The following is a 26,969-nucleotide window of genomic DNA, read 5'->3' as shown; positions in this document are numbered from 1 at the left end:
CTTACCTAGTCAGCACTACTAAATATACTCATGTGGCACAAAATGCTTTGGTCAGTGACAGACTGCATATACAATGGTGGTCCTGTAAGTTTCTAATACCATATTTTTACTATATTTTTGCTATGTTTACATAACACAATTACTTACCACTGTGTTCCAGCTGCCTACTATATTCAGTACAGTCCCATGTCATACAGGTTTATAGCCTAGGAGCAATGGGCTCTACCACAAAGTCTAGTTATGTAGCAGGCTACACCCTCTAGGTGTGTGTAAGTGCACTCTATGATGTTGGCACGATGAAACTGCCTAATAATGCATTTCTTAGAACATATCCCTGTTAAGTGACATATGTAATGATGTAATGCCAACTTTTCCAAAGTTTTTTTTTTCTTTTTGAGATGGAGTTTCGCTCTGTTGCCCAGGCTGAAGTGCAGTGCCACGATCTCGGCTCACTGCAACCTCTGCCTCCTGGGTTCAAGCTATCCTCCTACCTCAGCCTCTCTAGTAGCTGGGATTACAGGGGTGCACCACCACGTGCAGCTAATTTTTGTATTTTAAGTAGAGACAGGGTTTTGCTATGTTGGCCAGGCTGGTCTGGAACTCCTGACCTCAGGTGATCTGCCCACCTCGGCTTCCCAAAGTGCTGGTATTACAGGCGTGAGCCACCATGCCTGGCTTTCCAAAGTTTTTGTGTCATGTTTTCATACGCCTCATAAACTGAATAGAGGTGTTTTATTCTTTGAAAAAGATTGTGTAATTTTGGAATGATTGGTTTTTTAAATGTTTGATAGAATCTATCTGTAAGACTATCTGTGGCTGCAGTGTTCTTTGTGGGACCACTTATTATCATTATCATCTTGTTATTATTGTTAATTTTTAATGGTGGTAGAACTACTTGAGTTAATTTTTTTCTTGCACCAGTTTTGGTAATTTATATTTTTATAGAAATATATCCCTTTCACCTAACTTTTCAAATTGATTGGCATAAAGTTTTTTTTTGTAATATTATCTTACTATGTTTAAAAAAACCTAAGCAGGAAATGAGTTTATTGTAAAGCTATCACCTAGTTCACAAAATCCCTGAGAAGGCTCAAGAACCATTTCAGAAAATAAGTGGAGAGGCCAGGCGCGTGACTCATGCCTGTAATCCCAGCACTTTGGGAGGCCAAGGCCAGTGGATCATTTGAGGCCAGGAGTTCGAGACCAGCCTGGCCAACATGGCAAAACCCCATCACTACTAAAAATACAAAAATTAGCTGGGCGTGGTGGCGTGCACCTGTTGTCCCAGCTACTCGGGAGGTTGAGGCAGGAGAATCGCTTGAACCCAGGAGACAGAGGTTGCAGTGAGCTGAGATCGCACCACTGCACTCAGCCTGGGTGATAGAGTGAGACTCTGTCTCAAAAAAGAAAAAGAAAAAAGAAAACGAGCAGAGATATGGAGGGGGAAGGCTGTGGGGGCACAGCTAGGGTTGCCCCACAGAGCAGGGTGGGCCAGGGTGTTCTCATTCATCCTGTCTGCTTGGTCTCTTTTTTCTGGATCTCCTGTCACTCATATGTTGAAAAATGTTGTTTCTGGAACTCCTATTATGCAGATCCTGAAAACATTCTTTATTTCTCTTCCTTTTTTTCTCATAATTTCTATTTCTTTGCCCCTTTGCTTTCCTTTCTGCAAAAGGATTTCATCAATTGTATCTTCCCTCCTTTCAAATAAATTTTTTTCATTTTTGCTATTTTCTTTTTCAATTTCTTAAAATTAAAAATTTTAAAGAAATTAAAAATGTTTTACGTTTTTGAATTTTCATTTGTGGAGCAGCGTGTTCTTTTCATAGACGTAGTAGCTTCTCTAATTCCTCCGAAGGTATTTTTTTCTTCTTTTAAAAATGGTTGGCCAGGCACGGTGACTCACACCTGTAATCTCAACACTTTGGGAGGCCGAGGTGGGTGGATCACTTGAGGTCAGGAGTTCGAGACCAGCCTGGCCAACATGGTGAAACCCTGTCTCTACTAAAAATACAAAAAAGTAGCTGGCCGTGGTGGCATGTGTCTGTAATCCCAGCTACTCAGGAGGCTGAGATAGGTGAATTGCTTGAACCTGGGAGGTGGAGGTTGCAGTGAGCCGAGATTGCACCACTGCACTCCAGCCTGGGCGACAGAGCAAGACTCCATCTCAAAAAAAAAAAAAAAAATGTTGTCTTTTGCCTGGCGCTGTTCCACTAAGTTGCTCTTTCCCGCGTTTGTCTGGCAGTCTGTCTTCAAGTTAGCCACTGCTCATACACACTTCTTGTGTTTGATTAGGTGAGGTTAGGAACCTGCCTGGACATGCCTTGTGTTGAGTGGGTCTTGTAGTTGTGAGTATGATCAGGGTGTACTATAGGGTGAGAGGAGTCCTAAGCAAGTGCCTCAAGGTCTTTTCCTTGGGGTGGGTCAGATTCCGCAGAGAAAAACCATCTTACCTCCTGCCTGTAGAGTGAAGGCCACCTGCTGTTCTGGAATCAGCACTCGATGCATACCCACTGCTTTATCTCCTCAGTCTCGGAGAGGGCCCTGTCCTCAATGCCTGGAGTGGAGAAGGGCATCTGGGGCTGATGACTTCTCACTCTGACCCAAGCCTCCTGAGTCTAGCTTCTCTCTCCCAGGTTCAGTACTGGCAGTGCCTGAGACTTTTGAGGATTTTACTGGTATACATTTTGTCAGTTCTCAGCTTACTCTGTTGCTGGTTTAGGATTTGAGATCTTGCCCATCCATTTTCTAGGAACAAAAATTTTGTAGGCTGGGGCTAGGCACAGTGGCTCATGCCTGTAATCTCAGCACTTTGGGAGGCTGCGGCAGGAGGATAGCTTGAGGCCAGGAGTTTGAGACCAGCCTGGGCAACATAGCAAGACCCCAACTCTACCAAAAAAAAAATTAGCCAGGAATGGTGGTGCATGCCTGTAGTTTCAGCTACTCAGGAGGCTGAGGTGGGAGGATCACTTAAGCCCAGGAGGTCAAGGCTGTGGTGAGCCTAGGTCACACCACTGCACTACAGCCTGGGTAACAGAGTGAGACTGTCTCCAAAAACAATTTGGGATTCCTCTTGTCTCTTGTTGTCATCTTCCCCATGGGTTTATGTTTTCCTAGGAAAAAACTAAACGCTAAAAGGAGAAATTTCCTATGGTTTAAAAGGATTTCAATAGGCAGCAAAATTAACTGTGTGTGCTCACTCTCCTCTCTTAACCCTTTTTCTATATTTTAAATCTTGCCTGTATCTCTAATTATGCTCATTTAAAATTCCTCATATTGTGTGCTGCTTATTCGTGTGCTCTCTTCTTTTCCTTGATCAATTCTGCTGGAGATTTGTCAGTATTATCAGTGTTTTCAAAGAGCCAACTTTCAAAGGAACATCATCTGCCCCTATTCTGTGTTTAGACATGGCCCTTAGATCAGATGCGTTATTTATGTGGTGTACATAATTTGTATCTCTGCCAAGTGTTTGTGTGTTTCACCCAACAATTACTGAAAAGGTAAAATGAAATCTCCCACTCTGATGGGTATTTTTCAATTCCCTTTGTAGTTTTATGTAAAGCTATTTTATTAAGCAATCCAGGATTACAATTGCTATAACTTCCTGATAAATTTAGCCTTTTAACTCGTTTTTATTTCTAGTAATACTTATTTGCTTTAATGCCTATTTTAGTTGATATGAATAAATATCATATATATATGTCTCTCTTCTTTTCACTTTAACTTTCTCTTTTAGGCTATCTCTTGAAAATACCATAAAGCTAGATCTTAAAACTTCTTTTGATATTGTCTTTAGTAGAGCACGGTAGTATGTTTATTACATTATTTCTGAAATCTTATAGACATTAGGATTATAGTATAACTGTTGTGGCCATTTAGCCAAATAACTCAAAGGATCAAACAACATTACACATTCAGTGTTGTAAGAGCACAACTCTCAAAGACATATGTTAGCAGTTGTTAAAGTTTTATATTGACTTAGTAACAAAGGATCTAAGCAAGAAGACAAAAGATCTGAGTGAACAGCATTTAAGCAATAGGGATTTATATAGTTAGTCTAAAAAGAAATGCAAAATAATATTGCTGAGTTAGGTACCCAGTGGGCTGACTTTCTAAGGGCTATTGACCATGTCACCTGGAGGTCAGCTTCTCTGTCAAGCTATAATGTCCCAACAACTCCTCTGTTTCCAACCTTACTGGCCGTGAGCTGTCTGCACCTTCACTGGCTGAGAATTGTTAAACAAAGATTTGGTAACAGCAAAGTTACCTGCCTAAGGGTGTCAGATGAGGTCAAGCAGTCTTATTAGAAAATATTCTAGGGTGATATTAATTTTTAAAAACTCAAGCAATCATCAGCTTGCTTTTTTTGAAGTTTGGAATAAAGTTTTCTTTAACAATTTAACATAAAAATATAAAACTATTTTGTCAGAATGTATGCGATTCTGGTCTTATTAATTGATAAAGCTAAAGGTAGCCTTAGCTAAAATATAAACTAGAATAGCTAAAGGCTGCTGTAAAGTAAATAAGCTTTTATAGACAAGAAACTTAAATTTTCTATCATGGCTATTGTAAAAGTTAGAATTAGTATACTTTACTTAATAAGTAGCAAATGACATATATACTACTTCCATCAAAATATAGGTCTACCACAGAGGCCAGACGCAGTGTGGGGGCTGGACGTGGTGGCTCACACCTATAATCCCAGCACTCTGGGAGGCTGAGGCGGGTTGATCACTTGAGGCTAGGAGTTCAAGACCAGCCTGGCCAACATGGCAAAACCCCGTCTCTACTAAAAATACAACAAACAAACCAACCAACCAACCCAGCAACAATAAAACAGGTCTACCCTGGAGTCATACTCTAATTTCTTCTATTTTCCTCCCTTTCTGATCCTTTATCCCACTTTTTTTTTCTTCCTCCTCCTTCTTTGTCAAAGACATAGAGGATTGAGTTATTATCATTGATCCATACAAAGTCCCTCTCTCATTTATTTTCTTTCATTCCCACCCCCCATTTCTATTCCCCGTCTTCCCATGTGCAACCTTCCTAATATGTTTGATATGCATCTTTTTGTTTGTAGGTATTTTTAGAAAATGTTTATTGTTTTGTGTGCATTTTTTATTTCAGTGTTTTACTAATCCATAGGTAGAACTAGTCTTTTTATATGCAGTTTGCAAAAAATGCCTATTCTTTTACTTATTTAAATTAATTAATTTTTAAATGGCAAATAAAAGTTGTATATATTATTGGGTACAAAATGACATTTAAAATATATATACATTGTAAAATGGCTCAATTGAGCTAATTAACATATAAATTACTTCACATACTTATTTTTTGTGCTGAGATCACTTAAAACCTGTTCTCATCAATTTTAAAGAATATGAAACATTGTTATTAACTATAGATGTTGTATATCTATAGTTAATACAACATGTATACATGGTGTACAATAGATCCCTTGAACTGTTTTTCCTATCTTACTTTCCATCAAAGGATACAAAAAAGAAATTTTGTATCCTTTGAGCAATATCTTTGCAATAACCCCCACCTCAGAAAATGACTATTCTTGTTCTTGTAGCTTATTTTTATTTTTATTTTTTATTTATTTTTTTTGACAGGAGTCTCCCTCTGTTGCCCAGGCTGGAGTGCAGTGGCACAATCTCTGCTCACTGCAAGCTCTGCCTCCTGGGTTCATGCCATTCTCCTGCCTCAGCCTCCCGAATAGCTGGGACTACAGGCGCCCGCCACCACGCCTGGCTTTTTGATTTTTTTTTCTTTTTTTTTTTTAGTAGAGACGGGGTTTCACTGTGTTAGCCAGGATGGTCTCAATCTCTTGACCTCGTGATCCACCCGCTTCGGCCTCCCAAAGTGCTGGGATTACAGGCGTGAGCCACCGTGCCCCACTCTTGTAGCTTATTTTAAAATTGCAGACATGAGTTTGTCTTTGCTACACTGTAATCAAATTTGTTGCTCAATTACCCAATTGTGAGGCAAACCAGTGTAGGCTTTGTGTTGAAGAGTGCAGCCACTAGATGGAAAAAACAGGGCCAGGACTAAGGTGAGGCTTGCGAGGTGACCATGAACCTGAGAAAGAGCACCTCCTTAAATTTTGCATCTGGAGTGCTTTACTTGCCTCATCCTAGTTTCAGCCCTGGAAGAAAGTCTAGATCCCTGCATCATTGCAGAGAGGGGCTGCCCTGGACTGTTGCATTACCTACAGAAGACACTGCAGGAGGAAGAATGAATGCCTCTTGTACGAAGTCACTGAGACTTGGGGCTAGTTTGTTACTACAGTATTGCCCATCCTATCCTGCTTACTAGTCACAAAAGGGAGACAAATGGCAAAGAAAGCATAGCGAAGGGAAACTCATAAATAAGACAGCAGAAGTTAGTATAACAAATCTGCAATCTCAATAAATATGACAGTTACACTTACTGATAAATGGCAAATACTCAGATGGGGCTTCAAAATCCAATGTTGATTCAGAGAGGTTGAAAATAAAGGAATGAAAAAACATATACTGGGAAAATCAAAACAAAAGAAAAGGAATGGAAGCAATATTAGTATCAGACAAAATATAATTCAAGACAAGAAATAATATTAGCTTGGTGAAAAAGTAATCGCACTTTTTGCCATTATTTTGATGGCAAAAACCGTGATTGCTTTTGCACCAACCTAATAAAAGGAAAATATTCATATTAATAAATTTCAGATTATTAATACTGGGCATATTCTATTCCTGACAATATAACTTCAAATTATTTGAAAGTATAAAGAAATTAAAATAAAAGCAATTGGCTGGGTGTGGTGGCTCACACCTGTAATCCCAACACTTTGGGAGGCTGAGGAGGGTGGATCACAAGGTCAGGAGTTCAAGACCAGCCTGGCCAAAACCCCGTGAAACCCCGTGTCTACTGAAAATACAAAAATTAGCCAGTCGTGGTGGTGGGCACCTGTAATCCCAGCTACTAGGGAGGCTGAGGCAGAGAACTGCTTGAACCTGGGGAGGCGGAGTTTGCAGTGAGCCGAGATTGTGCCACTGCACTCTAGCCTGGGCGACACAGCAAGACTCCATCTCACAAAAAAAAAAAAAAAAAAAAAAAAAAAAAAGCAATTGACATGTTTACAACCACTGTGGGAAACTAGCATGTCTTTTTCAGAGGTAGAAACACATAGTGTAACCAGTGTTTTCAATAAGCAGTCTCATGGGACTCACTGGGCGTTGTTCATGACCATTCTGTTTCTAAGTGTCTCTTTAAACTTCATAGTGGTTCTTTCTCTGCCGCCACTCCTGTTGCCTCACTGATCCTTCCTAGGAGAAACAAAGTCCTTTGGTCACTTTCAGATGCAAACATGGTTTCACTTCGTAGTTACAGTGCCAGTCACCTGCAGTAGTCCAAGTGCTGAACCTGTGATGAAAGTTACATCTCCCCTCCCCACAGCTAGGACCTGCTTTGGACATCACTGCCATCGGAAGACAGTGCCATGGTGTTTTCTCTCTTTCCTGGCCTAGCAGTTCTCCATTCTGTCATTGCTAACTGAGATGTCAGAACCTGCCCAAGTCTGAGGAGTAGGGAGATGGGAGAGCACAGGAGGGAGGACAAAGAAGAGGCATTGGGCAGGTCTGCGTGTCTCCCTCTCTGGGTCTGGTGACTGATACCGACTGTTTCCCTGTGGGGCCCTTTTATGGGTTCTCCCCGTGGAGGTGCCGCTCACTGCTCTACAGGACCTTGGCCCTGGCGAATGCACCCCACCCTGCATCAGCCTCCTCAGGCCCTGCCACCCAGCACTCTGCCTCCAACTTTGCTTCCCCCAAGGTCTCTGTGCTTTGAGATAGAAGTTTTGGGCCAAGTGCAGTGGCTCATGCCTGTAATCCCAGCACTTTGGGAGGCCAAGGCGGGCGGATCACCTGAGGTCAGCAGTTAGAGACCAGCCTGGAAACACGGCGAAACCCCGTCTCCACTAAAAATACAAAAATTAGCCGGGCATGGTGGCACATGCCCATGGTCCCAGCTACTCAGGAGGCTGAGGCAGGAGAATCCCTTGAACCTGGGAGGCTGAGGTTGCAGTGAGCCAACATCATGAATAAACACTTACATTTCTACTGCCTGAACCAAGTCTTGGCAGCAGAAGGCTCCATCGTCAAAGCAGCTGAGAAGCAACAATCTCCTGCTCATTAGATTTTTGGGGGGTCTGGGTCAAAGATCAGTCTACAGTTTGAGCATAATGAGTAAGAAGTAAACTTTTGTTGTGTTAAACTGCTGAGATTTCAGTGTTAACTTGTTGCCACAGCATTACCTATCCTATATGAACTAATTCAGGCAAAAAAGGAGAGGGGGAATAAAAAATAAGAGCGCACAGTGAACATAAAACCTGAAACAAGACGGGAAGGGACTACTGCGAGCCCTCTCCTTTACTGTGAGGTGAGAGGCGGGCAATGCTCCCTCCACACCCGACCTGAGGGGGATGGGAGTCACAGTTTGGCAGCAGAGAGAACCAAAGAAATCCTTTTCACACATTCCTCTTAGTTGCTACTCTCTTCACCTTTAAATTTATTGTTTATTTATTTATTTATTGAGATAGAGTCTCACTCTGTCGCCAGGCTGGAGTACAGTGGTGCGATCTCGGCTCACTACAACCTCCACTTCCTGGATTCAAGCGATTTTCTTGCCTCAGCCTCCTGAGTAGCTGAGACTTATAGGCATATGCCACCATGCCCAGCTAATTTTTGTATTTTTTTAAAGTAGAGATGGCGTTTCACCATGTTGACCAGGATGGCCCTTCATTAGCTTTACCAAGGTGATTGAGTTTTGGGAACGGGTTATTATAATTTAAATTATAAACTAAGTCTCTCCCAAAGTTAGGTTGGCCCAAACCCAAGAATAATTAAGGACAATTTGAAAGCTTAAGGGCAAGACAAGGGGCTGGTTAGATCAGATCTCTTTCACTGCCATAATTTTCTCACTGTTACAATTTTTGCAAAGGTGATTTCAGATGTGGGACTTTCAGTTTTAAAACTGGGAAGCTCCTGGGACAAGTTGATCCCGTACATGTTTTATAAATTATCTAGACAGATTAGCATGACTTGGATACCAAAATGGGACAAGGATAGCATCAGAGAAGTATGATCCAATTTAAATATTTGCAAACTGAATCCAGCAGTTTATTAAAAAAGCAATTCAGAAAAAAGGAACAGATGTAAATGTTCTTAAATTGATAAAGAATATCTACCAGAAGTGACAGGAAAGCTCATGCTTGCATCCTGAGAAACACTGTAAGTGTTCTCAGGACAGTAGGGAGCAAGGCAAGTATGTTTGCTGTTACTGCAACTGCTTAACATTGTATAGGAGGTGTCTGCCAAGATCATGAGGACAAAAATATGCAAATATTAGAAAGAAAGGGACAAGACTGTACTCTTTGTAGAGAATACTATTGTCTATGGTGAAAACCAAATACTGATGAACAGACTATCAGAACAAATAAAAAATTCTGCGAGGTGGCTGCGTAAAGAGCTCTCATTCACAATTAATAACAAATTGAATATATAGAAAAATAAGTAACACAATTGAGGGCTTCTTATGTGACAGATTCTCCGCTACACACTTTTTTTTTTTCTTTTGAGACGGAGTCTTGTTCTGTCGCCCAGGCTGGAGTGCAATGGCGTGATCTCGGCTCACTGCAAGCTCAGCCTCCTGGGTTCAAGTAATTCTCCTGCCTCAGCCCCCTGAGTAGCTGGGGCTACAGGCATGCGCCACCATGCCCAGCTAATTTTTATATTTTTAGTAGAGACAGGCTTTCACCATGTTGGTCAGGCTGGTCTCGAACTCCTGACCTCATGATCCGCCCACCTCGGCCTCCCAAAGTGCTGGGATTATAGGCATGAGCCAATGTGCCCGGCCACGCCACACACTTTTGAATGTATTCCCTTCTATGATCCCCACAACAACTGACTTGCGCTGATGGAAATAAGTGGTAGAGACAGGAATTGAACCTACCTATTGAATCCTGAAGTGTCTTCTATCCAAAATAATTCAGGTCATCATGGCAGTGAATAAACATAAGATCCTGGTGGCAGGAACAACTCATTGTCCACCCAGATGCCTACTCTCTCTTCCGTAGGGTGGAGTTGCAGCTGGTAAATGGCTCCCAGCAGGGAGCTTGCCAGGCTCCTTGACACCTGTGTGAAGCCATGCGACTCATTCTGCAAATGAAAGCAAGCAGAAAGGATGCGGGTCACTTCTTGATCAAGGTGGTTAACAGAGGGGCATATCTTCTCCAGAGTCTCTCAATCCTGGCACTAGCTGGATGGCAAAGCCCAGGGCAATCTTAGAGACCTGGCGGTAAAGATGACAAACCCTCTCTCAGCTTTGGGTCCTGAATGGGTTCCCAAATGTGAAATAGGGTCTGCTACATAAGACAGAAACAGACTTCTTTTGTGTTAAACTGCTGAAATTGCAGAGTTATTTGTTACAGCAACTAATGTTACCCTAATTAACACAAACCTAACAAGAAATGTCCAGGATTTACATGAAAAAACTTCTAAATGTTTAGAAGACTATATGAGATTTGAAAAAAAATGGATACTATAATATACTTACGGGTAAGACAACTGATTCCTGCAAAGATATAAATTTTTCCCTAAATATCCCTACCTCAATACTTGTCTAGATGATTTTCTCATTTATTTGGAAGATTAAACAAGATGAAATAAAATTTTGAAAGAGAATAATAAATGGTAGGGGCTTCCTTAACATTGTATAGGAGGGGTCAGCTAAGATAATGAGGCCAAAAATATGCAAATATTGGAAAGTTATCAAAGGCTAATATAAGATTATGATTAAATCAGAAGTGGCCCTGGCGTGGAGATTGATAAATAGGTCAGTGGAACAGTACTGATAGACCAGAAACAGTCTCAGGCACACATGAGAATTGAGCAAATGACTAAGTCAACATTTTAAATTAGGAATTAATGGACAAAGTGGAGAATGTTGTTGAGACAATTAGGCACCCAATTTGAAAAACATATTGTGGAATAATTTCAACCTCATACCATTCTCAGAAATAAACAATTACCTTGAAGGTAAGGAAAATCAAAAAGAACATATAAAACAAAGAAAACATTCACAAATTTGATAATATTACAAGTAGTATATAATGTATGACAAGGGCACCAGAAACAAAGTAGAAAATACTTGCTATGTACATGGCAGGCAAATAATCAATAGCTGGGATATATACAACTTCTACAAATTGATAAGAAAATGATAAGTTACTCCATAGAAGAATGGGCAAGGGGTATGTACTGGTAATTCACACATAACATAGCAAATGATGCTCAGCCCCACTGATAATTAGATAATTGGATAGCAATAAAGGGGCCGGGTGGGGTGGCTCACCCCTGTAATCCTGGCACTTTGGGAGGCCGAGGCAGGAAGATTATTTGAGCCCAGGAGTTCAAGACCAGCCTGGCCAACATAGTGAGACCTCATTTCTACAAAAAATAAAGAATTAGCCGGGCATGATGGCACGCATCTGTAGTCCCACATAATCCTATACAGTATATAGGAATTAGTTTACTCATATATACTAAGAGCTATGTAGAAGGGCTTGCACTGTAGCAAGAGTGGTAATAGGAAAACTTGAAAACACCCTAAGTGCTCATTCAAAGGTCAACTCTAGAATACCATGGAGCAATAGAAAAGAATGAAGTGGTTCTTCGTGGACTGCTATGGAAATAGATATGATTCTTAGAGATAAAATACGTCATTAAGTTAAAAAGAATATTGCAGGACACTGCTTATAATGTCATTTATATAGGATAAAAATAAATAAAACCCACAAAACAAACCTTTATTTCTATATGTGCCTATATATGCCCGTAAATGCAGAGATAGTTAGAGAAGGCTCAACAACAAACTAAAGGTGGTGGGAGCCTAGGGGTGGGCGGGGAAATGGGCAGGGGGGCAGACTTGGAGACATTTGTTTCCTTGACATTGTTGGAATCTTCTACAATGAGGATGTATTTGTGCATATAATAGTATAATTTAATAAATACAAATAGAAAAAGATGAAAATCCTGAGGCTGCCACCCCAGAGATTTTTATCGGGATGGTGTATTATTTCGTTCTTGCACTGCAATAAAGAAATACCTGAGATTGGGTAATTTATAAAGAAAAGAGGTTTAATTGGCTCACAGTTCTGCAGGCTTGTACAGGAAGGATGATGCTGGCATTTGCTCGGCTTCGGAGGCCTCAGGAAACTTACAAACGTGGCGGAAGGCAAAGAGGGAGCGAGCACTTCTCATGCCTGGAGCAGCAGGAAGAGAAGGGGGAGGTGCCACACACTCCTAAACCACCAGATCCGGAGATGACTCACTCTTACCACGACAGCACCTGGGGGATGGTGTTAATCCATAAGAAATGGCCCCCACGATCCAATCACCTCCCATCAGGCCCCACCTCCAACATTGGGGATTACAATTTGACATGAGATCCAAACCATATCAGACGGTTTGGTGGGAATCAGTGTTTTTTTTTTTTGACCTCTCCTTGGGTGATTCTGAGACCGTGGGCCATAGTGAATTGCTGGCTATTGGAGACTATATATTATAGACCACAATTCATAATTCAGCTTCTTATGTGTTTTCTATAATATGTAATTCTTTTTTTTGAGACAGAGTCTTGCTCTGTCACCCAGGCTGGAGTACAGTGGCACGATCTCAGCTCACTGCAACCTCCACCTCCTGGGTTCAAGCGATTCTCCTGCCTCAGCCTCCCAAGTAGCTAGGATCACAGGCGTGTGCCATCACGCTCAGTTATTTATTTATTTATTTATTTGTTTATTTTTATTTTTTATTTTTTGTGTTTTTAGTAGAGACAGGGTTTCACCATGTTGGCCAGGCTGGTCTTGAACTCCTGACCTCAAGTGGTCTGCCTGCCTTGGCCTCCCAGAGTGCTGAGATTACAGGTGTGAGCCACCGTGCCCAGCCTATAATACGTAACTTTTTAAAATAACAGTGTAGTGCTTGTTTCTGCAACACATATACTAAAATTGGAACCATACAGAGAACATTAGCATGAGTTCCCAAGGATGACACAGAAATTTGTAAAGTATTCCACATTTTTGTTAAGGTGGTAGATTTTGTTATGTGTATTTTACCACAATTAAAGAAAATAACAGTATGAATCATTTGACTGAAACCACAGAGACAGATTTCAATAAAGTGGGGCCTTTGTCACTAATTCAAATGTCATCCGTCTCTGTTTAAACGAATGTTGGTTTTTCCTTTCGTCTTTCAGGAAAAACTCTAACTTTTCTCACTGGTAGCAGTTTTAGGTACAGACACATCTCCAGCGGCCTGTGACCCCCCAGCGCTCCACGTTTACGTGTCCCCCGCGGAATCTCTCTGACTGCTCTGTGTGAAGCACGCAGCTCCCCACCCCTTCACGCAGCCCTCTGGAGTCCAGGCATTATCCACTCTGCAGGGCCGCCCTGCTGATCTCAGGGGACGCGTCCAGCTCTCTACCCTGTGCTCCCCGTCCCGTTTTCTCTTCTGTTGGGACTCAGAAAACAGGAAGAAAGGTCTCAGGTCGAGTGAACCACAGAAGGATGTACTTGTGCATAGGAAGCAGCTCACAAGTCGGGGCAGATGGCCGGGCATGGTGGCTCAGGCCTGAAATCCCAGCACTTTGGGAGGCTGAGGCGGACGGATCACATGCGGTCAGGAGTTGGAGACCAGCCTGGCCAACACGGGGAAACCCTGTCTCCACTAAAAATACAAAAATTAGCCGGGCTTGGCGGCGCATGCCTGTAATCCCAGCTACTTGGGAGGCTGAGGCAGGAGAATTGCTTGAACCCTGGAGGTGGAGGTTGCAGTGGGCCGAGATTACACCATTGCACTCCAGCCTGGGCAACAGAGCAAGACTCTATTGCAAAAAAAAAAAAAAAAAAAAAAAAAAAAAAAAAAAAAAAAGAAATGTTGGGGCAGAAACACTGCTTTTATTATGGGATGCTGCCCCACCCCCTGCTACATAAGATATAGTATAAAGTCCCCAGTATTTTAAATTCTGATGCATAGCTGAGCCCATGAATTTCAGAGAAGCACTTTCAGTTTGTGGGCCTGGACAAGGAAAGCACTTAGAAAAGTTCCCCGCACACAATAAACACACAATAAGTGTTAACTCCTATCATGATGGCCCTACTAGTTAGCCTGGCCCATTGGGGTTGTGTTGTTCCTAGCCCAGAAAGCTTTGTCACATTCTGCACACTTAAACCCAGGTGAAGCAACCATGTCACCCTGCCAGTATGTGCACAGTCTCAGGACCAAGTCACCTTAACACAAGCCCTCCCTGTCTGCTCATCATCCTTGTCTCTTGGTTTTTCACTCCCACTCTCAGCTAGCAAAACGTGGACTCAATGTTGTCCTTATTAGCCGGACGCTGGAAAAACTAGAGGCCATTGCCACAGAGATCGGTGAGTGACCCCCCAAATAAGGGAGATGTGTGTGGAGCCCTCCAACCAAGCCTGCTCCCACCATGCCAGTTGATGTACTTGGCATCCCCACATCTGCTCTCAGAGCCTGGGGCACCAGCTCTCCTGGGGAGCCCGGTTACAAAGCAGAGGGCGGGATAGAAGGTGTCAGCTTTAGTGCACACTGGCTCTGTGGGCTGGGGGAAGCAGGAACTAACTGAGGCACAAATAGGTCTGCTCTCTCCTTTGGGTGGGTTCCTTCATTGCTACATCAGCCCTGCTCAACCTTGAGCGGGCTTTCCAATTTTTGTGCAATGATACACTGTTTTCTGAATAAGAAAGAGAGTCAATTCTCAACTAACTATACTATTTCATGGATCAATCACAGCAATGTTTGTTTGCTAAACTAATTCCTGAATTAACTAATTGCTGAATTTTAAAAATAATTACATTTTTACATATGAAAGTGTACAGCATATCCTTGAGCCAGCAGGCTGCCTGGTTGCTTCTGCCACTCCCTTCAAAAGCAAGATCGGTGTTTGGGACTTCCCTTCCCCATGTCTGTGCTCTGCTGTTGGCAGGAGGATGAGGGACAATGCTTACTGGTGTTTGTCAGATTTTATAAACAGTTTTGATCCAGGATCATCATGTAAGGATGTGGAGGTTGTACACTGTACAACCCTGAGGCAACTTTTATATCATAATGTTTTATTATGATGATTTGCTCTGAAGTGTTCTTTTGTTAATAGTGATAATCATATTTCTTTTGGGACCTTTGAATTTTAATAATTATCAATTTAATAATTAACAAACTCTTTAACTCAAAGGGATGAGACTTTAGTTATGGAGACTTGTGAAGACTATGGTGGGCTGTCAGGGGTGAGCCTTGTTTCCCTGGGGGAGATTTGGGACAGGAGATGGGTGTGGGAGGTGTGGGCTGTGCAGTCACACTGTGAAGCACAGTGCCCTTGAACCCATGAATTCTGCTTTTGTTCTGTGTCTGGATATCAGAAGTAACTTTGACTAGGACCGAGACATTCTTCAGTGTTTGCCTCACAATGCTGAAATGTGCTTTTTATCATCCTTTTGAAAAGCAAGTAGTGTCTTTGGACTGAAAGCATTGTCCACCCCCAAACTATGCCTCAAGATTGCTTGGCCCACTCCAAAGCAAAGCAGCTCACCAAGCCACTGGTAAACTCTGTAGCTTTCACATCTGACGGAAAACTCCCGCAGAAGGCAAGTTAACACAGAGTAGTGGGGAGCGCATTGAACGTGGAGTGACCAGAGAGTGGATGGTCTTGGCTACGTCAGTTAGCTTCTCTGAGCCTTCATTTTCTCCTCTGGAAAATGAAAGTCATAATGCCTACTTTAGAAGGTTGTAGGGACAATGACCATAAGACATTGTGTATGTAAATGCTCTGTGAATGCTAAAGCATTGGACAAATACAAAGAGTTGTTGGGTCTGTGTGGAGGAGACTTGACACTTGTGAGCAGAGGCAGTGTCAGACCTTGCTTTTACAGCTGTCAGTCTGGGGTCTCGAACTTGAGCAAGCAGCAGAGTCCCTCGGAGGTGTGTTAAGCAGGTGGCTGGCTGGGCTCCACCCACAGAGTTTCTGATGCAATAGGTCTGGGGTAGAGCCCGAGAATTTGCATTTCTGGCAAGTTTCCCTGTAACCCTGATGCTGTGGTTTGTGGACTCCACTTTGAGAACCGCTGCAGTAAATCTATCTTAATGCATATACGTGTCCCTGCAGTAACTCTTAGAGACACGTAGGAACCACCATTCACCAATCTTAGCACCTCCCAACATTTACCCAGAACCATGTCCCATTTTTATTTGGGGCAATGGGCTGTCCTCTTCAATGTCTGCTCAGGTAATACAGGAGCACTGGGGGAAACTTCATGGGCGAGGGGGCATTTGGATCCCTGTTCATTAAAAAAACTGTTGTCTCTCGTGTAGAGCGGACTACAGGGAGGAGTGTGAAGATTATACAAGCAGATTTTACAAAAGATGACATCTACGAGCATATTAAAGAAAAACTTGCAGGCTTAGAAATTGGAATTTTAGGTGAGTAAATTGCAAGATGCAAAGCTTGTTGTCATACATCAGTGAAATAACCTGACACTGATGAGTGACATTTGATTATTTCATGGTGATTTATACTCAAACCATGACTGTATTTTAAGCTGTCCCATTAAGTTGAATATCAAAGCACACTTCTTCTAGAGGCATTACTGAATAAAAAAATTTATATATTGGTTTGGAATGTATCAAACATACATATTTCAACCCCCAACTATATTTTCTTTTCTTTTTTTTTTTTTTTTGAGATGCAGTCTCGCTCTGTCACCCAGGCTGGAGTGCAGTGGTGTGATCCCGGCTCACTGCAACCTCTTTCTGCCAGGTTCAAGTGATTCTCCTGCCTCAGTCTCCCAAGCAGCTGGGACTACAGGCGCCTGCTACCATGCCCAGCTAATTTTTGTATTTTTAGTAGAGATGGGGTTTCACCATATTGGCCAGGCTGGTCTCAAACTCCTGACCTCGTGATCCACCTGCCTCGGCCTCCCAAAGTGTTGGGATTACAGGTGTGAGCCACTGCACCCGGCCGGACCAACTATATTTTCTAATATTAAAATGAATTTTCTTTTATGGAACTGACGTTGACATTTGGCAGAAAAAGAATCCCAGAAACATTGGCCTAAAGGAATTAGTTTAGCAAACAAACATTGCTGTGATTGATCCATGAAATAGTATAGTTGAGAATTGACTCTCTTTCTTATTCAGAAAACAAGATAATATTTATTTCTGTAATGATTTATAGACAAGATACTTTACGGCCGCGTGCACAGTGCAGTGTTTATGGTATATATAGAAGAAAGTCAAATTGGATTTCTAAACCTTCTGCTGAATTTTAAAAATAATTACATTTTTACATATGAAAGTGTACAGCATATCATTGCAGAAAAATTGGAAAGAATAGACAGGCTAATAAAATAAATATGAATCTCTTAAAATCCCAATATTCTGAGGTAGCATTTTGGTGCACATTTTTCTAATCCTAAACACACATATTTTCAAAACTGGAATTATACGTATGTGCTGTTTTGTCATATATTTTTAAAAAACTTACATCATGCATGTTCTCCCATGTAAGCAGCCCAGCCATAGTTTTTAATGACTACACTGCATTCCAACATATGACAACCCCATGATTCATTGAAGGTGTCTCCTATTACTGGACAAAAACTTCCCCCCAGTTTCCTCACCGTTACCAAATCATGCTGCGATGAACAACCTTACATGTCAATCTTTTTGTACATGGTTCTTTGGGAAAATCTCCCACCTGATCTTCTGACACATTTTTGTTTTGCTTCTTTCTGCCAGTCAACAATGTCGGAATGCTTCCAAACCTTCTCCCAAGCCATTTCCTGAACGCACCGGATGAAATCCAGGTAGACTTGTGCTCTTCTGTGTATAGATTCCTCTTATCCAGGTTCTGGGTCCCCTGGCTGGGTAATGAGTCAGGCCTGGGAAGGCGTGATGGAAGCATGCATCTGGCCGAAATCCTGGACTGTATGTATTGAGGCCCCCTTTCCTCTTCACCTTAGCACTCGATCCACAGTCAAGAGTACCACTTTTCACGATATCTCTAGGATATGGACATCTTCCTCCTTCTCTGCACATCAAAACTTACCTGTCCATTGTCCTATGCTTCTGGGGTGCTGCACTCTACTTTATAAAGGGTAATTCTGCCTAACACATTCGCAGCTGTGAACATATATGGGAGAAGACCAGCTCTTTGGCTTTCTCTGTCTTCCCAGGTACTAAGATTTGTGTAACTTTCAGTGTGAGGGAAGTATATGACACAAACTCTATGGCTGGCAGGATTGTAAGTTCAGTAAACTTGGCTCAGACCCATGACTGCCATTGTTGGTTGGGAGTACATTTTTAATGGATTTAACAGTTCTTTTTTTTTTTTTTTGAGATGGAGTCTCCCTCTGTCGCCCAGGCTGGTGTGCGGTAACATGATCTCGGCTCACTGCAACCTCTGCCTCCCGGGTTCAAGCGATTCTCCTGCCTCAGCCTCCTGAGTAGCTGGGACTGCAGGCGCCTGCCACCACGCCCAGCTAATTTTTGTATTTTTAGTAGAGACGGGGGTTTCACTATGTTGGTCAGGCTGGTCTCGAACGCCTGACCTCAGGTAATCCACCTGGCTCGGCCTCCCAAAGTGCTGGGATGACAGGCGTGAACCACTGCGCCCGGCCGCATTTAACAGTTTTTGAAGGCACAATTTGTTGACCCTTTCTTAGGCCCTGACCTTTGGAGTCATTAGGGCTACACCAATCTGAACAGGCTCTCATGCTTCCATTCCCCACTTCTGCAGGTATCCCATCGTCCTGTGTAAGCCCCGAGTCTGCTGCACCGGGTGATAATGCCAGACTGCTTGGGCGCTGCTGCACATCCTCACCAAACTCCTGAACTCCTCTCTGGACCACACATCTCCTGTGTGGGCTCTGTCTCCCACACTCTGTTTCTGGCACAAATCTACGTCTCTTCAAGAAGCAAGTTCCAGGGTTGCTCCTCTGCCTGTGTGTGTCTGTGTTTGTGCTAGTGTCTGTGTCCGTCCTCTTGTCCTTTCTCTTTATCTTTGGTCATTCTAGTGGTTTCTTTACCTGCCCTCCATAGCCCAGAACCTCTACCTTATATTATACAACCATTTGTCTTTCTGTTCTCCTGGACTCACATAGGCTAACCCCTCTTCCTCCAGCTGAGAATGGAGTAGCTCCCTTTGAAAAACCGTATTTATATTCCTCCAGGAATATAGTTCCGAGTTTTCCAGGAAACTCTTAATTGATGTCTAGTCAAGATGACGTGGGTACAGAATGACAGAATGGGAGTCAGATGTTTCTTGATGCTAGTACATGCTTGCTGGAAGGCAGTTATGAGCCTAATTTGCAGGGTGAGTGATGAAACCGTTCAGACATGCACTTTTGCCCACTTCATGGTTCTTTAGCACCAACTACTTTCCAGGAGAATTTCTCTAATCATCCGGCTGATGTGTGGTTGTGATTATTTATTACAGAGCCTCATCCATTGTAACATCACCTCCGTAGTCAAGGTATGTGATCAATATATGTGCGAAATGCATTAACATGTAGTAACTTGAAATTTGGCAACTCAGGAGAATTGTGCCCATCCACTGTAGAAGCAGGATTCTTTGAAATCGAACCACACTTAGTTGAGAGGCCATGTCGTGGTCTTGTAATTGTCTTGTTCTGTTTTTCATCTAGAAAATACAGTAATGGATTCAACTCTCCCTTGTATCTGAATTCTATTTCTGCTTTCAGTTTTGTCACACGTTGGAACATACTAAGCTCGATGATGCTGAAACGTATTCAGGATTCCAAGGCAATTCTAAAAAAAATTAGTATCTTCCTCTAATTTTAGGCTTTGTAGATAGAGGAAAGCTCACTCTGGAAAACTGACGGAGGGCGTGGCTTGGATTTTCTGGACTTTTGTTGTTCAATAAATATTTGTTAAATCAAAGCTCAAATTCATCTGTGTTCTGGTCCCAGCACAGCTACTAATTAGTTGGACAGCATTGGACAAGTTATGTAGCCTCCTTGAACTTAACGTTCTGCATCTGCTATTAAAAGGCTGTGGATTGGCTGGGCGTGGTGGCTCATGCCTGTAATCCCAGCACTTTGGGAGGCCGAGGTAGATCACCTGAGGTCAGGAGTTGGAGACCGTCCTGTCCAACATGGTGAAACCCTGTCTCTACTAAAAAATACAAAAATTAGCCGGGCATGGTGGCAGGCACCTGTAATCCCAGCTACTCAGGAGGCTGAGGCAGGAGAATCGCCTGAACCAGGCAGGCAGAGGTTGCAGTGAGCTGAGACTGTGTCACTGCAGTCGAGCCTGGGCGACAGAGAAAGTCTCTGTCTCCAAAAAAAAAAAAAAATGGCTGTGGATCAAGAGATGTCTTAGGCACCATTCAGCATTCAAGTTCTTTGGTGAGGGTCAGCTGCACAAAGATGTATAGCATGAGTCCCTCAAAGCTATCCTATGTAGACAATTTAGAGAAAGGTACTGTTTAAGAATGGACACAGCTTGAGGCTGTGTGACTTGGTGAGTAGATGAGGATTTTGTGTGAATGACGTGTTCCCCCTTCCTCTGGGGATAAAGCCCTCTTCCTCTACTAGGACACGTGGCTTGTGAGTGAGCTCTGAGCTTCCCACCTGCACTAACCCCACACCTTGCTCAGTACACAACATTCACAGCTGTATATGGCAGCCTTGATGACCACTCTGGAAGGTCAGTAGGACTGCAGTGATAAGTAAAGTCTGATTCCTGATTTCAAGGAGCTGGGACCCTGGTTGGAGACTAGCAGAAGGCTCAGTCTCACCCATCTGAACAACATGGACTGGAAGTAGGGGAGGACAGATTTCCCAAAGAAAGCCAGGTTGCTGTTAAGATAAGGAGGGGAAATGGAGGCAGAGTAGACAAAAAATTTTTTCTTTTCAGGTGAATAAGTTGGGCGGACAATAACTATTTGGTTGTTTTTCTATAAGCATGCTGGTATTTTATGGTTTCTTGCTCAGTTGCTATTGGGTACACACATCTTTTTGTGCTTAGCAATTGATGGCTTTTTGGAGCCCCCAGCTGATGTAATTATGAGTTTTATATGTCTAACTGTCATCTGCAGCCTTACCACTAAAGTCTTTCACGTTATTTTACAACTGACCTTTTAGTCTTGGGCTGTTTGATCATAGGTATTTCCCAAATGCACTTGACAACCCTCTGACTCCTTTAGCAGAGAAATGCTTTGATTTGTTTAAAAAAATTATATATTGATAAACACTAAGTTCCCTAAGTATGAAATAAAATAAATTGAAGTTTAGCTTCTAAGTATACCACGCCCCAGTGAACCATGCTGGTTAGAAGCATGACTAGTGAAGCTGCACTATTTTAAAGAAGCCGTCTGGAGATAGTCGAGTTCTCTTTCGGGGCAGGGATGGGAGAATATGCATTTGAGGGCAAAGGGAAGGTGGAATAAGAAACTGAACATTGGAAGCCTTGAGGCGGGGACCCACGAGATTCAGTGTTGTCTCTCTCATTGGGATCATTCAGCCAACAGGGCTAGTGAGTTCATTCGGGAGGCTTCGAGGCAATGTGGGTGCTGGCTGACAAGGCTCATATAATATCCCTATGAAGTCATTCACGGAAAGCGGTCTGACACTATCTCGCCCCTCATCCTCCCTCTTCTTCCCCAAAATCCAGTGTTGCAGAGGCAGCCCAGTGGTTCTAGAGAGCCCCACCCCCTCCACTGCCCTGGCCCCCTGGCCCCCCAGCAGCGAAGACATTCCCTGGAGGCTCTGAGACAGGCTGGGGCCTGGCCTGGGAGTGGGCACCTCTGAGGAGCTGCTGCAGGGCCCCTGGACAGCATGGAGAAATGGGCAGCCTGTGTCTTCCGGTCCCCAGGTGCCTTGATGTCTCCACCCCTCTCCTTTCACTTGGGTCCCTTGTCTCAAACCTGCTGCAGTCAGGATCTGCTCCAGGCCTGCCAGGCCTGATTGCGGTCAATTCTACTTCAGAGAACATTTCAGTCCATGGGGTTGCCTCTTCCTTCATTTGTAAAATGTGTACCTTGTAATTTTGAAACAAAAAGTTCTTTTAGGCTCCTGAAATGGCAGAGAAGACCTTTTCAGGGGTCTCTAGGCTGGGAGGGGGAAGGGGCCTCTCAAGGCTCTTGTAATTCCAATACACAGGAGTGGCCATGCACTGTGTCCACGGAGCTATTTCATAGCCTAGCTGCAGGCTGCGTAAGCGGTTGCTGTTGAATCAAAGAGGTGTCCTTCTCTCTACAGAGTCTTGTTAGGTTTCCCCATAGTTCCCCAATTCCAACTCATGGCCAGTCCACTTTTGCCTGTCCCACAGAATGAAGAGTATCATGGGAACCTCAGTGTTGGTCCCACAGCTGTAAGCCAATTCCCCCAATTTTTCACTGCCCTCATTTTCCAGGAAGACATTAGCTTTAGGGGGAAGAAATCAGAGGCCCCAGAGCAGCCTGTCATTTGTCTAGGTTGGCTCCTGTGGGTTCCAGGCAGACTCTAATGTGGCCAGAGTGACCTCCAATGAGTGCCAGCAATTTTCAAGGCCGTCTGAGAAGATGAGGCTCTTTCCCAGCTTCCTCCCGCGCTCCCTTCCCTGTTTCCATCCCGCCCCCTTGCACTGCTACTTAGTTCCTTGTCGGGCTTACCTTTGGCCTTCTCTTGTAGATGACACAGCTAATTCTGAAACATATGGAATCAAGGTAAGGCCTTCTTCAAAAAAGTGTGGAGCAACATGGCCTCCCTGCCCTGGCGGTCAGCTAACTCAGGGACTGGGGACACAGAGTCCATCTGGCTGTGCTTTAACAAACGATAACAGCTATGATGAAAGCACACGGTGATTATGGGAAAAAAAACATAACGTTCTGGGCCAGGCCAGCTCTGCAGACAGACAAGCTCATGTGAAGGTCAAACGTAACACACATTGGAGGGAGGAAGAGAACGGCAGTTTCAGCACACACTGGATTAAAGAAAAATTAACTAATGTTGAGTGTAAAAGAAAACTTCAGAAGTTGGCCCGAGATCAAGACCATCTCTTTGTTAGGAATTTCAGCTTTTGTCAGAGAGAATACTCCAATTTATTGTGAAAATCACTGCCCTGTCAGCTCCTCCACTTATTCCATATTTATGTCACCCTATTCCAATGCCCATTTGGGAGTTGGTTTTTCTCAGGTGTGTTCATTAAAAGCAAATGCTTGATAGCTTATCTTCCCTAGAGGAAGAAGGGGCTTGGCCTTGGATTCTAATTTGCAGTTTCTTGTCCCCTGCCCCTCCATTGTATCCGTCTAATTGGGAAGGATTAAGAATATTAAATTTCAAAAGGACAAGTAAGGCTCCTGGAGACTTGCATAGGGTATCTGTGTGAGCAGGTCCTGTACTGTGAAATTCTATCCAAGACAATATTCCACCATGTGACATCTGTCCAGCTGTGGGTCCTGAGTCCAAAGGGACCGGCAGCTCATGTGGTCACATTTAAGGGAGAAGGATTCTCTCCCCTTAAATCCTGAGCTGAGCTGGTTATCAGTATTTTGGTGGAGAGACCTCAGTTGTAGCACAGCCTGTTTCCAAGAGCAAGCCCCTCACATTATATGATGTCACATGACTGCCAGGTGGCATCACTGTGCGGCGGAAATCCAGACATCTCTGTGTGGCGCCCTCCAGGGGAAGGTAGGGGAAGTTCACTTACCATTCCTAGAAGCAGAGCCCCTAGCACTTGCGGAAGCCTAGAAAGGGTCGAGTCCGGCAGTGTTCACACGGGACCCTTTGTTTTCTTTGTACTCAAGGTCAGGTAGGGCAACAAAGCCATGGGAACTTTGCTTCTTTGCCTTTCAGGCAGAAAGGTCTCATCCTGAACATTTCTTCTGGGATAGCCCTGTTTCCTTGGCCTCTCTACTCCATGTACTCAGCTTCCAAGGTGAGTGATGTCATGACTTCCAAGTCTCTTCCTTCTTCCTCTTATTTCTCCCAGTTGGCAATTTCCTTTGATCATCTGGCAAGTTGATGGAAAGGTTTACCTGGAGATGCTCTCTTATGTGCAGGGCTGAGCTACTCACTGGGAAGTCCAAGAGAAAATTAGAATAAAGCACCTGCTCTGGGCACACGAAGCCCTGCGGTGCACAACTTGGCCAGCCTCCGGGGATGCCTGCCCCACTCACCTCCTCTGGGAGCCCTTGCCATCTTCCTGCTGACAAGTGACACTGTAGCTTCCTTCCAGACTGGGAGATCTAGCCTGGTGTCCCCATGCCCTAGTCATAAAAACAGCCTGAGGAGGAGGGGGCGCTGTACAAGGGAGGTTAATCTATGCAGGGGCCCTAGGGATGGATTTATCCCAAAACAGATTTTCCTGCTGAGTGGGAGGTCCTCTTCCCAGACCGGGGGATGAAGTGCTAACTCCCATCAAGGCAAGCTGGTTCATTTTTTCCCTTACCCTCTTTCTGCCCCACTCTCCAGCTTTATTAAGGCGTACTTGACAAATAAAAATTGTGTCTATTTATAGTATGCAAGGTGATATTTTAATATATGTATATGTTGTGAAACGATCAAGTCAAGCGAATTAACATATCCATGACCTCACATACTTACCGGTTTTTTTTTTGTGGTGAGGACCCCTGAGATCTACTTGCTTAGTAATTTTCAGGTATGTTGTCTATGATTGTTAGCTTTTGTCACCATGCTGTATAGTAGATCTCTAGAACATATTCACCCTGTGCAGCTGAAACTCCGTACCCTCCGTACCCAGAGCTCCCCACTCTATTTTAAGGTCTAGCAGGTAGTGTGTCTGCAGTGCCCCTTGAAGTCAGAGGAAGTTGGCTCTGACGAGGGAGCTCACTCTGGGGCCTCAGGTGTCTCTCCTTCTTGCTCCAGGCGTTTGTGTGCGCATTTTCCAAGGCCCTGCAAGAGGAATATAAAGCAAAAGAAGTCATCATCCAGGTGAGGTGGGCAGCTGTGGAGTCCTTGTCATCATCCAGGTGAGGTGGGCGGCTGTGAGTCCTTGAGAAGGGTTACTCTGGACCTCCCGTGGCTGGGGCCACTGCCTCCTGTGGGTCTGGCTGCTCATGTGTGGTCAACAGGAAGATGAGCTGGGGATGCCACGTGGGCTTTTGGGGCGCCTCAGTCCCACCTGCTGCTGTGGCTTCTGTTGCCCTCCCCCGTGCCCTGGGTGCTGGAGGAGGAAATAGGAGAGGGGAGTGGCTGCTCAGAAATGCTGTGGACCTTCTTGCTACCTGATGCTTCATCAGAGCAGACATTCGGGTTGGTTGTGGCTTTTCCTCTCTGACCCTGGTACAGAACACAGGCTTATGTGGGAGGAATTCTGGAGAAGAAGCAAACAAAACAAAACTGGGCACTTGATCCGAGTTTGAATGAGGGGAGGGGCTAGTCACCAGGGGAGGGGACCTTCTGTGATGGGCCACAGAGGTCCCCACACTCTGGTTCTCGAGCAGGTGAGGAGGAGGCACTCTGCTTCCCTTCCACAGGTCATCGTGGAGATGACCTGTCCTCACCTAGGCAGAGCTGGGCTGTCACTGCCTGCTGCAGGCTGAGCAATGTGATTCCTAAAGTGTCAGTGATTTATTTGTGCTTGGTTCAGCAACAGAGTTAGAGTTAGATAGTTTCTGGAACGTAGAATAAACAGAGTTTTTGTTTTGTTTTGTTATTGTTGTGTGGGAAGAAGTTTTACGATATACTATTAGAAATGGAGAAAGGCACACTCAAAATTATATCTTGGAAATTATTGCTGCGCACACTGATTTTCAATTAAAATATCCAGTGAGAGTATTTTAGGCAGCTGTTCCTATAAACTAACCAGCTACAGGGTAAAGCTTATTAAGTAGGCAGATATGAGTTAATGGTAGGAATTTGGCCAATAATATCATCTCTGAGCCATAGTGAGTGGTTGTAACAGCCTTGCCACCGGGTCACAGTCCCTTTCTCTGCCATGCAGAAGCCGTCTGACCCATCAGAGGGTCCTGCTTCCATGCTGGGGTCTCCGTGCTCCCACTCCCAGCTGAAGCTGGAGTTTCGCTTTTGTAATGCTGCAACTCTGTCTGGGCTAAGTTTGCTGCAGTAAAAAAATAACCCCTAAAATCTCAGTGGCTTAAAACAACAAAGTCCTATTTTGCATTCACGTGACACATCCACTGTGGGTTCACAGAAGACATTGGCTCACTGTGCTGACACAGGGCCCCAGGCTGACGGAGCAGCCGACATGCCAGAGGAAAAGGAGTGGGAAGTTCTAGTGGGTCCTGCTTTGACAATGAAATGCTCTGGCCCAGAGATGACACATGTCACCTCTGTTCATAAATCACTGGCCAACTCTGCTTGCATGGTCCTACACAGCCACAGGGGGCCAGGAAGTGCAATTCTATTATGCATGTGTCTGGAAGAAGAAGGAACCAAGAATCCTTGGTGATTTCTAAACATGAATGATCATCGCAGCCACCTGCTTCCTAGCCATGTGACCCTCAGCAGCATCTTGTCTTGATCCTTGGGGCACAGCTGCCGAGGTAGTGGGTACTATGGAGCAGGAGGGTCAGGAGGAGATGTGGGTGGGGAAATGGAGTCCCTTGTCCCTTCCCTGATGCAGAGAACTTGGAGGTGCTCTTCTAGCAAGGAGGAGAAAGTGAAAAGACTGTGATCTTTCAAAAACCAATTGGCCTCTCCGAACACACACTCAATAAATACTCGCTGAATGAATAAATACTCGCTGAATGCATGAAGAAGTATGTACTGTGGAGTTGGGTTTGAATTTCATCACAGCTCTACCACTTATCATCTGAGTGATCCTGGTCAGCTTGTTTAAACTCTGTGAGCCTCAGTTTTCCCATCCATAAAAAGGGGCTTATAATGCCTGCTTATATCTCTGGGTTATAGTAAAGATCTAACG

General features: G+C 43.9%; 1 protein-coding gene, 2 long non-coding RNA genes and 1 pseudogene across 3 annotated transcripts in view, besides 1 other annotated feature; 3 read left to right on the top strand and 1 right to left on the bottom strand.

Annotated features, from left to right (window-relative positions):
* Nucleotides 1-26,969, top strand: part of SLC35D2-HSD17B3 (SLC35D2-HSD17B3 readthrough) — a 148,406-nt gene that overhangs the window by 114,368 nt on the left and 7,069 nt on the right. The window contains exons 18-24 of the long non-coding RNA NR_182427.1: nt 14,401-14,476; nt 16,434-16,541; nt 17,859-17,926; nt 19,558-19,593; nt 22,754-22,788; nt 23,918-23,999; nt 24,950-25,015. This is a non-coding gene — a long non-coding RNA (SLC35D2-HSD17B3 readthrough). The remainder of the gene's footprint in view (nt 1-14,400; nt 14,477-16,433; nt 16,542-17,858; nt 17,927-19,557; nt 19,594-22,753; nt 22,789-23,917; nt 24,000-24,949; nt 25,016-26,969) is intronic.
* Nucleotides 1-26,969, top strand: part of HSD17B3 (hydroxysteroid 17-beta dehydrogenase 3) — a 66,871-nt gene that overhangs the window by 32,833 nt on the left and 7,069 nt on the right. The window contains exons 3-9 of the mRNA NM_000197.2: nt 14,401-14,476; nt 16,434-16,541; nt 17,859-17,926; nt 19,558-19,593; nt 22,754-22,788; nt 23,918-23,999; nt 24,950-25,015. Coding sequence (NP_000188.1) covers nt 14,401-14,476; nt 16,434-16,541; nt 17,859-17,926; nt 19,558-19,593; nt 22,754-22,788; nt 23,918-23,999; nt 24,950-25,015 — 471 coding nt within the window. The remainder of the gene's footprint in view (nt 1-14,400; nt 14,477-16,433; nt 16,542-17,858; nt 17,927-19,557; nt 19,594-22,753; nt 22,789-23,917; nt 24,000-24,949; nt 25,016-26,969) is intronic.
* On the top strand, nt 13,025-13,128 carry RNU6-1160P (RNA, U6 small nuclear 1160, pseudogene; annotated as a pseudogene).
* Nucleotides 15,989-16,038: an enhancer, noted in NCBI's record as "active region_28651". NCBI's record gives its function as "activates an Ori minimal core promoter by ATAC-STARR-seq in GM12878 lymphoblastoid cells {active_cell/tissue: GM12878}" and the evidence as "EXISTENCE:reporter gene assay evidence [ECO:0000049][PMID:35858748]".
* HSD17B3-AS1 (HSD17B3 antisense RNA 1) lies at nt 19,083-22,881 on the bottom strand. The gene is made up of 3 exons (NR_146524.1): nt 22,735-22,881; nt 22,009-22,121; nt 19,083-19,761 (listed from the first exon to the last, which is right to left on the bottom strand). It is a non-coding gene; the product is annotated as an HSD17B3 antisense RNA 1 (long non-coding RNA).

Source organism: Homo sapiens, chromosome 9 (assembly GCF_000001405.40).
Source record: "Homo sapiens chromosome 9, GRCh38.p14 Primary Assembly".
In the NCBI taxonomy this organism is placed as follows: Eukaryota; Metazoa; Chordata; class Mammalia; order Primates; family Hominidae; genus Homo; species Homo sapiens.
This window is presented reverse-complemented; position numbering and strand designations above follow the sequence as displayed.